Source organism: Homo sapiens, chromosome 10 (genome assembly GCF_000001405.40).
Source record: "Homo sapiens chromosome 10, GRCh38.p14 Primary Assembly".
NCBI classification, from domain to species: domain Eukaryota; kingdom Metazoa; phylum Chordata; class Mammalia; order Primates; family Hominidae; genus Homo; species Homo sapiens.
Window position 1 is genome coordinate 63123008 of NC_000010.11, and position 9805 is coordinate 63132812.

Consider the following 9805-nt stretch of genomic DNA (forward strand, 5'->3'; position numbering starts at 1 on the left):
ATGCATTCCAGGGTAAGAAATCTTGGTGGCCATTTTAGAATTCAGCCTACCATAGGACTAGAAATGGTAGTCCTATGGAGAGGAGAGATGGTGACTGCTTACTTCCCTGTCTCCTCTGGAGCCTCTGCTGTGGCAGCCATTGTGGTCTGTCATATACTGTTTTATTCTCATCCCCCAGCAGCTGGCCCCTCAGGGCAAAACCTCCATCCTCCTCCCCAAAATACAACCTCCACCTCCCTACCCTCCACCCTCAGGCAGGCCCACTCTGCCAGGTGTGGTGAGGGCAGGAGTGTGTGTTAAAGCCATTATTTAGAGAGGTTCTGAGAGAGCATGGGGTTTGCACCCTTCCTCAGAGTAACTACCTAATCAAAGAAACCGCTTGCTTATGTATTTGCAAATGGGCCATTGTGTATTATCCTGTTAACTTCTGTCAGCTGAAGAATAATGAGGTTCATAAGACTGGAAAGGAAAGATTTCTTTCATTCCTTTTTTTTTTTTTTTTTTTTGAGACGAAGCTTGCTCCATCACCCAGGTTGGAGTGCAATGGCATGATCTTGGCTCACTGCTACCTCTGCCTCCTGGGTTCAAGAGATTCTCCTGCCTTGGCCTCCAGTGTAGCTGGGATTACAGGCACGCGCCACCATGCCTGGCTAATTTTTGTATTTTTGTAGAGATGGGGTTTCACCATGTTGGCCAGGCTGGTCTTGAACTCCTGACCTCAGGTGATCCAGCCACCTCAGCCTGCCAAAGTGCTGGGATTACAGGCATGAGCCACTGCACCTGGCTGGAAAGATTTATTTCTCATAAATGGTTGCAGCCTGGAGAGTGGCCATTCCAACAGACTGGGAAACAGTCTCTGAATAGAAGTCAGAAAGAGGCACTTCAAGGGAGGGGCAAAAGGAATAAGAATTTATGCTGAACTGAGTGGTCAAATATACATTATTTAATAGCTACAGGAGGAGTCATAAATATTTATGAAAGCGGAAACTGAGCTTCATGCCTCTTCATGGAAGCCTGGAGGCATGGGTGGAGTTTTCTGCCCTCTGATGTCAAAAGGTGAAGCAGAGGACACTAAGGTACTCAGTGTGCATCCTTTGTAGACTGGCCAGAGCCACTCCAAGGTCAGTGGTCTATTATCAGGAAGGAATGCTGGTTAGTTGTTGTGTCTGGTTGCTCTGTTGAAACCACAAAAAGGAGTGGAGTGAGTTTTTCTGTTTAACCCCTAGGGAAGAAAGCCTAATGGTGATTAGCAAGGGAGAGAGTATAATGAGGAATTTGTGTCCAACCTCTCATCATCCCATCACGGCCAGGAACTCAGTTTTTTTGTGTGTGGTTTTCTTGAGACAGAGTCTCACTCTGTAACCCAGGCTGGAGTGCAATGGCGTGGTCTCAGCTCACTGCAACCTCCACCTCCCGGGTTCAAGCGATTCTCCTGCCTCAGCCTCCTGAATAGCTGGGACTACAGGCACGTGCCACCACACCTGGCTAATTTTTGTATTTTTAGTAGAGATGGGGGTTTCACTATGTTGGCCAGGCTGGTCTCGAATTCCTGACCTCATGATCTGCCCACCTCGGCCTCCCAAAGTGCTGGGATTACACGCGTGAGTCACACGCCCACCTGGCCGGAACTCAGTTTTTAAGGTTTCTGTGGGGTCTCCTTGGCCAAGAGGGAGTCTGATCAGCTGGTTGGGGGGCCTCAGGATTTTATTTTTCTCACCTCTTTTCTCATCATACCTCAGGCCTGTTAACTGTCTCTGAGAGGTAGGTGGTGATGTCAATGCTTACAATGGGATATGGCCAAACTTCAGGTCTAGGACAACATTTGGTTCATGCTACTGCTCAGAGTCTGGTTTTTAGGTCTCCACTGAAAGAATCAGAAGATGTAGTTAGTGAATTCTGGACATACAGGTCTCCCACAAACTGTCATTCACTTGGCCGGATGCGGTGGCTCACGCCTGTAATCCCAGCACTTTGGGAGGCTGAGGTGGGCGGATCACTAGGTTAAGAGATCAAGACCAACTTGGCTAACACAGTGAAACCCCATCTCTACTAAAAACACAAAAAATTAGCTGGGTGTGGTGGTGGGCGCCTGTGGTCCCAGGTACTCGGGAGGCTGAGGCAGGAGAATGGCGTGAACCCGGGAGGCGGAGCTTGCAGTGAGCAGAGATCACACCACTGCACTCCAGCCTGGGCGACAGAGCAAGACTCAGTCTCAAAAAAAAAAAAAAAATTCCTGTCATTCACTCTCCCTGAGTCTTCTCAGTACTAACCCTACCTCCACCAGACCTGAGGCCCAGCTCAAATGGCAATGCCTCCATGGCCTTCTGTGGCCCAACATCTAAAAGAAACCTCTGCTCCCTTGGCACTACCTTTACTTCCTTTCGACATTACTTTTTGCCTTATTTATAATTTCATACCTCAAATGGGCACTCAGCATTACCCACAAAATAAACGGTTTCTCTCTTAGGTTGACTTTCCCACTCTGAGGCTTTCTTTTGTCAAGTTTAGCATAAAGCTGCCTCTTACATATTTTAAGTTTGGCCTAAGGCTCCTCCATACCTAGTGAACTGTAACCTCACTGGATGTGTAAACAAACTGTAACCCACTCTTGTAACAGGAGCTGAGTCTCAGCCAATCACAGCAGCCATACTTCAACCATTCACAGGTGGCCAACTGTTCAAACTGTGTTCAAGTAAGGTAAACACCCGAACTTTAACCAATCCAACTGTTTCTGTACCTCCCTCCTATTTTCTGTACATCACTTTCCTTTTTCTGTCCATAAATTTTCTCCCACCACACAGCAGTAGTAGAGTCTCTCTGAATTTATTCTGGATCAGGGGGTCTGCCTGATTCAATAATCATTCTTTGCTCAATTAAATTCTGTTTTAATTTTCCTTAAGTTTTTCTTTTAATGTTTTTAGATAAACTGTATCCCCTCTGTTCTCAGTTAATAATTTTACTTCATGCTTCATTTTTTTCTTTCTTCTTTTTTTTAAAAATTATGCTTAAAGTTCTAGGGTACATGTGCACAACCTGCAGGTTTGATACATAGCTATACTTGTGCCATGTTGGTTTGCTGCACCCACTTCATTTTTTTTAAACCAGTAATTGGGCCGGGTGCGGTGGCTCATGCCTGTAATGCCAGCACTTTGGGAGGCTGAGGTGGGTGGATCACCTGAGGTCAGGAGTTCAAGACCAGCCTGGCCAACATGGTGAAACCCCATCTCTACTAAAAATACAAAAAAAAATTAGCCATGCATGGTGGCACACACCTGTAATCCCAGCTACTGGGGAGGCTGAGGCAGGAGAATCACTCCTGGGAGGCGGAGGTTGCAATGAGCCGAGATTGGGCCACTGCACTCCAGCCTGGGCAACAAGAGCAAAAGTCCATCTAAAAAAAAAAAAAAAAAAAAAAAGCAAGCAGTAATTGGCTTCAAATCCCCACATTTTCTCCATAAGTAAACTACACAACTACTTTTATATGACCATCTTTTCTCTTTCCTACTTGTTAAAATGGAGCAAGCATCCTTCCTTCCCATGGACAGTTTCTGTATTTGGGCTCTGAATTCCATTCCTCCTTCATCTTCTCAAGGAACTTCATCGATACAGTCAATCTATCTACATCACCTATTGTCTTTCTATTTCATATTTTTATGTATGTCACTTTGATTCTTTCCACCACTGTCCCATTTTTATTCTCTATGGAATGTCTTGGATTTCCTTATTTCATTGGCTCTGCCTTCCTCTTCTACCATATGTCTAATTGCTGGCTCCTCAGCAGCAGTTCTAGGTCTGCTGCTTTTTTCTGCAGCAGAAAATGAAATGTGGCCGGGCACTGTGGCTCACGCCTGTAATCCCAGCACTTTGGGAGGCCAAGGCGGGCGGATCACCTGAGGTCAGGAGTTTGAGACCAGCCTGCCCAACATAGTGAAACCCCGTCTCTACTAAAAATACAAAAAAAAAAAAACTAGCCAGGTGTGGTGGCACGCACCTGTAGTCCCAGCTACTCAGGCAGGCTGAGGCAGGAGAAGTGCTTGAACCTGGGAGGGAAAGGTTGCACTGAGCCAAGATCCTAACATTGCACTCCAGCCTGGGCAACAGAGGGAGACTCTGTCTCAAAAAAAAAAAAAAAGAAAAAGAAAGAAAAGAAAATTAAATGTTCTCCCTATTAAAATTAATGTATTTACCTAGACCAAGCTTGTCCAACCCACAGCCCACAGGCCGCATGCGACCCAGGACGGCTTTGAATGTGGCCCAATACAAATTTGTAAACTTTCTTAAAACATTATGAAGTATGTATAATTTTTTTGTTTTTTGCTCATCAGCTATCATTAGTGTATTTTACGTGTGGCCCAAGAAAGCCAAAAGATTGGACACCCCTGACCCACACCTTTCCTGAGCTTCAGTCTTTTTGTTTGTTTGTTTGTTTTTTGAGACAGAGTCTTGCTCTGTTGCCCAGGCTGGAGTGCAGTGGTGCAATCTCGGCTCACTGCAACCTCCGCCTCCCGGGTTCAAGCCATTCTCCTGCCTCAGCCTCCTGAGTAGCTGGGATTACAGGCACCCGCCACCACGCCCAGCTAATTTTTTTGTATTTTTAGTAGAGACGGTGTTTCACCATGTTGGTCAGGCTGGTCTCGAACCCCTAACCTCATGATCCACCTGCCTCAGCCTCCCAAAGTTCTGGGATTATAGGCGTGAGCCACCGCGCCCGGCCTCTTCAGTCTTGTATATCTACCTGCCTACCTCACATATCCACTTGGATGTGTGAAAATAATTAATAGGGAGGCTATTAGGCTGAGGTGGCTCCAGAGTCTTGGGTCTTGGACTCCTACTTAAGCAAACTAAAACTCAATTCAATGTAAACAGTAAAACAAAATTACCGGGTGCAGTGGCTCACGCCTGTAATCCCAGCACTTTGGGAGGCTGAGGAAGGTGGATCACCTAAGGTCAGGAGTTCGAGACCAGATTGGCCAACACAGCAAAACCCCGTCTCTACTAAAAATACAAAAGTTAGCTGGGCGTGGTGGCAGGTGCCTGTAAACCCAGCTACTGGGGAGGCTGAGGCAGGAGATTGCTTGAACCAGGAGGCGGAAGTTGCAGTGAGCCAAGATGGTGCCATCGCACTCCAGCCTGGGAAACAAGAGCAAAACTCTGTCTCAAAAAAAAAAAAAAAAAAATCCAGCAAGACAAAACTTAACCAGTTAGAAATCACCAACCAGCCAAGCACAATGGCTCACGCCTGTAATCCCAGTGTTTTTGAAGGCCGAGGTGGGTGGATCACGACGTCGGGAGTTCGAGACCAGCCTGACCAATATGGTGAAACCCCATCTCTACTAAAAATACAAATATTAGCTGGGCGTGACAGTGTGCACCTGTAATCCCAGCTACTCAGGAGGCTGAGGCAGGAGAATTGCTTAAACCCGGGAGGCAGAGGTTGCAGTGAGCCAACATGGCACTACTGCACTCCAGCCTGGGTGAAAGAGCGAGACGCTGTCTCAGAAAAAAAAAAAAAAAAACCACCAACAAACCTCTCACTAGGGACTCTCCACTAGACCATACCCAAATAGGGCAAATGCTTAGCTATAGCCAATCAAGTAATTACTTCCACATTCAAGGAATAAAAGTTCACTGCCTCTGCTGCTGTGGGCAGCTCTCTGAAATTTTGAGTGCTGCCTGATTCACGAGTCATTCTTTGCTCCAGTAAACTCTTCTACATTTAATTCGTCTAAAGTTTCCCTATTAACAGATGTTGGCTGGGCACAGTGGCTCACACCTGTAATCCCAGCACTTTGGGAAGCTGAAGAGGGTGGATCACCTGAGGTCAGAAGTTTGAAACCAGTCTGGCCAACATGGTGAAACCCTGTCTCTACTAAAAATACAAAAATTAGCTGGGCAAGGTGGCTCGGGAAGCTGAGGCAGGAGAATCCCTTGAACCTGGGAAGTGGCGATTGCAGTGAGCTGAGATCGCACCACTGCACTGCAACCTGGGCGACAGAGCAAGACTCCATCTCAAAAACAAACAAACAAACAAAAACAGATGTGAAATCTTTCATTTGTATGTGCCAGATATTTTGTATTACTCTTTCCAGATCCGGTCTCTACTTCTTACTACCCTGCTCCCTGCCCTTGGAGGCTGATTTTTATGAATTACATCAATGGGCTCCCTTGCCTTCTGGCTTTTGATTGGGTTTGGACAATGGAAGTCAGGGGAAGAGGAAATAAGGTGATTTCCCTGGATCCTCCCTGCAAGGTCACCTCAGGATAGTGTCCTTGATTGAAGGTCAGTGCTTCTTCAAACTATATTCTACATTTTTCTCCTCATTTCAGATTTCCCTCTTATTCATTTCTCTTTCTTTTTTTTTTTTTTTTTTTTTTTTTTGAGACAGAGTCTTGCTCTATCTCCCAGGATGGAGTGCAGTGGTGCGGCCTCAGCTCACTGCAACCTCTGCCTCCCAGGTTCAAGTTATTGTCGTGCCTCAACCTCCAGAGTAGCTGGGACTATAGGCATGTGCCACCATGCCTGGCTAATTTTTGTATTTTGGATAGAGATGAGGTTTCGCCATGTTGGCCAGGCTGGGCTTGAACTCCTGGCCTCAAGTGATCCGCCCACCTCTGCCTCCACCTCCCAAAAGTGCTGAGATTACAGGTGTGAGACACTGTACCCAGCCCCTTCTATTTCTTTCTTTATAGCCTAGGAGTTATTGCTTTTCTCATGTAAATACCTAAACTCTGGCCACACCTTTGTAAAACAGTCCGTTTATTAAACCCTTCTGGGATTATTTTGAGTATGTCATTGATTTGCTTTAGATACAATGCCTCTGGTAGTCTCAATAATGGTCCGAAAGATACCCAGGTCCTAATCTGTGGAAGCTGAGAATGTTACCTCATATGGCAAAGGGACTTTGTAGGTATGATTAAGTTAACCTTGAGATAGGAAGACTATCTTTAACTATTTTGTGGACCAAATGTATTCACAGGGTCCTTACTAGAGGGAGGCAGAAGGATTTTAAGAGGAAATGACATGACAAAAGCAGCAAGAGCTTTGAAGATGCAGTGCTGCTGGCTTTGAAGATGGAAGAAGGGGCTGTGAGTCAAAGGAATGCAAAGAATGTAGCTCCAGAGGCTGGAAAAGAAGGGGGCAAGGCCTTGCTGTATACCTTTGTTTTGGCGCTATGAAATTATTTTGGTCTTGGCCGGGCATGGTGGCTCACGCCTGTAATCACAGCACTTTGGGAGGCCGAGGAGGGTGATTCACGAGGTCAGGAGATCGAGACCATCCTGGCTAACACGGTGAAACCCCGTCTCTACTAAAAATACAAAAAATTAGCCAGGCGAGGTGGCAGGCGCCTGTAGTCCCAGCTATGTGGGAGGCTGAGGCAGGAGAATGGCGTGAACCCCGGGGGTGGAGCCTGCAGTGAGCCAAGATCGAGCCACTGCACTCCAGCCTGGGTGAAAGAGCGAGACTCCGTCTCAAAAAAAAAAAAAAATTATTTTGGTCTTCTAGCCTCCAGAACTGCTAGCCTCCAAATTTCTGTTGTTTTAATCCACTAAATGGGTAGTAACTTCTTACAGCAGTCATAGGAAATTAATACAGTGCCCAAGATAGAACTTTTCATTTTCCATACAAATTAGCTCCTTCCTATTGTTACCAGGGGGTCTTTGTTCTTAGAGCTCCCAAGATGGTGGCAGGCCACTTCCAAGATGGCGGCAAGCCTTTTGTTCTCTGACCTGGGGTTCTTGGCCTCACGGATTCCAAGGAATGGAACCTTGGGCCATGCAGTGAGTGTTATAGCTCTATTAGAAGCCGTGGGTCACAGAAGAGAACCGTGGAACCCAGCAACTAGTGTTCAGCTCGATTAGGACAAACCCTGGGCACTTAGCCTTGCAGGAACAATGGCGAGCCTCTAGCCCGATTGGGAGCAGCAATGGGCGCCTCGCTGGATCAGGAGCACAGTGGACACCCTGATGGATCCAGAGGGGTGGAAGTCAGCGGCGGGTCTGTGATGGCAGCAAACAGCGGTGGTGGACGGTGAGTGAAAGCTCAGCTCAAGCTGTAACAAACATGGACCAGAAGAGTGTGCAGTTGCAAGATTTAATAGAGTGAAAACAGAGCTCCCATACAATGGGAGGGGACCCAAAGGGGGTTGCCACTCCCTGCTCGAATGCCTGGGTTTATATCCTGATCATTGTCCCTCCCCCTGTGCTCTCAGGCGATATATGATTTGACTATTTCTTTACCTTCTGCTTCTAGCCTAATTTGTATTTTAGTGAGCCCTCTTTACTACCTGATTAGTCGGGTGTGAACTGAGTTACAAGCCCTGTGTTTAAATGTGGGTGTGGTCACCTTCCCCAGCTAGGTTTAGGAATTCTTAGTTGGCCTAGGAAATCCAGCTAGTCCTGTCTCTCACTATCTTGTCCACTTGGTTGTTTACTTTTTTATTTTTTTATTTTTAGAGACAGAGTCTCTCTGTGTCACCCAGGCTGGAATGCAGTGGTGTGATTGGTCTCAGCTCACTGCAACCTCTGCCTTCCAGGTTCAAGCAATTCTCCTGCCTCAGTCTCCCCAGTAGCTGGGATTACAGGCACGCGCCACCACACTTGGCTACGTTTTAGTGCTTTTAGTAGAGATGAAGTTTCACCACGTTGGCCAGACCAGTCTCAAACTCCTGGCCTCAAGTGATCTGCTCTCCTTGACCTCCCAAAGAGCTGGGATTACAGGGGTGAGCCAGTGTGCTAGGCCACTTGGTTGTTTAAATACGAGATTTGATTCTTCCATTTTCTGTATGCTTTACTGCCATTCCATCACTAACTCCTCTCAACCTGATGCCCAAAAATATATCTTGAATATATCTACTTCTCTTCCAAGGTTTCCGGCACATGGTAGAAACATGATAACTATGTAATGAGTGGATGCATGACCCAATCTTCCCTACTTCCATTCCAGTCTGAGCGCCCATAATTAGTCAATCAACTAGCTTGTCTTGGTTCTTTTTCCTTAGGCCTTCCACAATCTATTCTTCACATTACAGGGAAATTAATCTTTTCAAAACTGTAAATTAAAGCAGATTATTCTCTAGCTTAATATCCTTTACTTATTTCCCAATGCACTTTGAGTAAAATTCAAATGTTTCATTGTGCACTGCAAGGACACCTATGTTTTGGAAGTTTCCTATCTCTCTGGTATCTTCTTTTGCATCTCTCTGAAATGCTGCAGCTCCCGCCACCCGACCTCCCCGCCTTTAGAGTTGAGGCATAAGACATTTCCTTTGTCGAGAAGGGTCTTTGTTTAACTGGCATTTTAAGGTTTAATCTTAAAGATTACGCCCTTAGCCAGGTGCGGTAGCTCATGCCTATAATCCCATCAGTTTGTGAGGTCCAGGAGGGCGGATCATTGAGCTCACTTGAGCTCAGCAGTTCAAGATCAGCATAGGCAACATGGCGAAACCCCATCTCTACAAAAAATACAAAAATTAACCTGGCCTGAGCACTTGTAGTTCCTAGCTACTTAAGAGACTGAGGTGTGAGGATCGCCTGGGGCAGGGGGCGGGCAGAGGGAGGTTGCAGTGAGTGGAGATTGCGTCAGCAAGACACTTTCTCAAAAAAAATCACGCCCCCCATGAAAGGCTTTCCTTTACCACCCAACTCCACCTTGGTTACTCTATCACAGCTCCCTATGTGTTCCCTTTCCAGCATAAATCACAACTATTTGTCAGTGAATTCCATGACAGAACGAACCTAGCTTTTGTTTGGCACATAATTGTTAAATGAATGCAGTATTATATTTGGCTAGACCAAAATTGTTTCC

At 46.2% G+C, this 9805-nt stretch overlaps 1 long non-coding RNA gene across 1 annotated transcript; it reads right to left on the reverse strand.

The window, feature by feature from the left end:
• Positions 1–928: 928 nt before the first annotated feature.
• Positions 929–2820, reverse strand: LOC105378328 (uncharacterized). Its single transcript, NR_188199.1, has 3 exons — positions 2418–2820; positions 1718–1864; positions 929–1175 (listed from the first exon to the last, which is right to left on the reverse strand). It is a non-coding gene; the product is annotated as an uncharacterized LOC105378328 (long non-coding RNA).
• Between the last annotated feature and the right edge of the window lie 6985 nt (positions 2821–9805).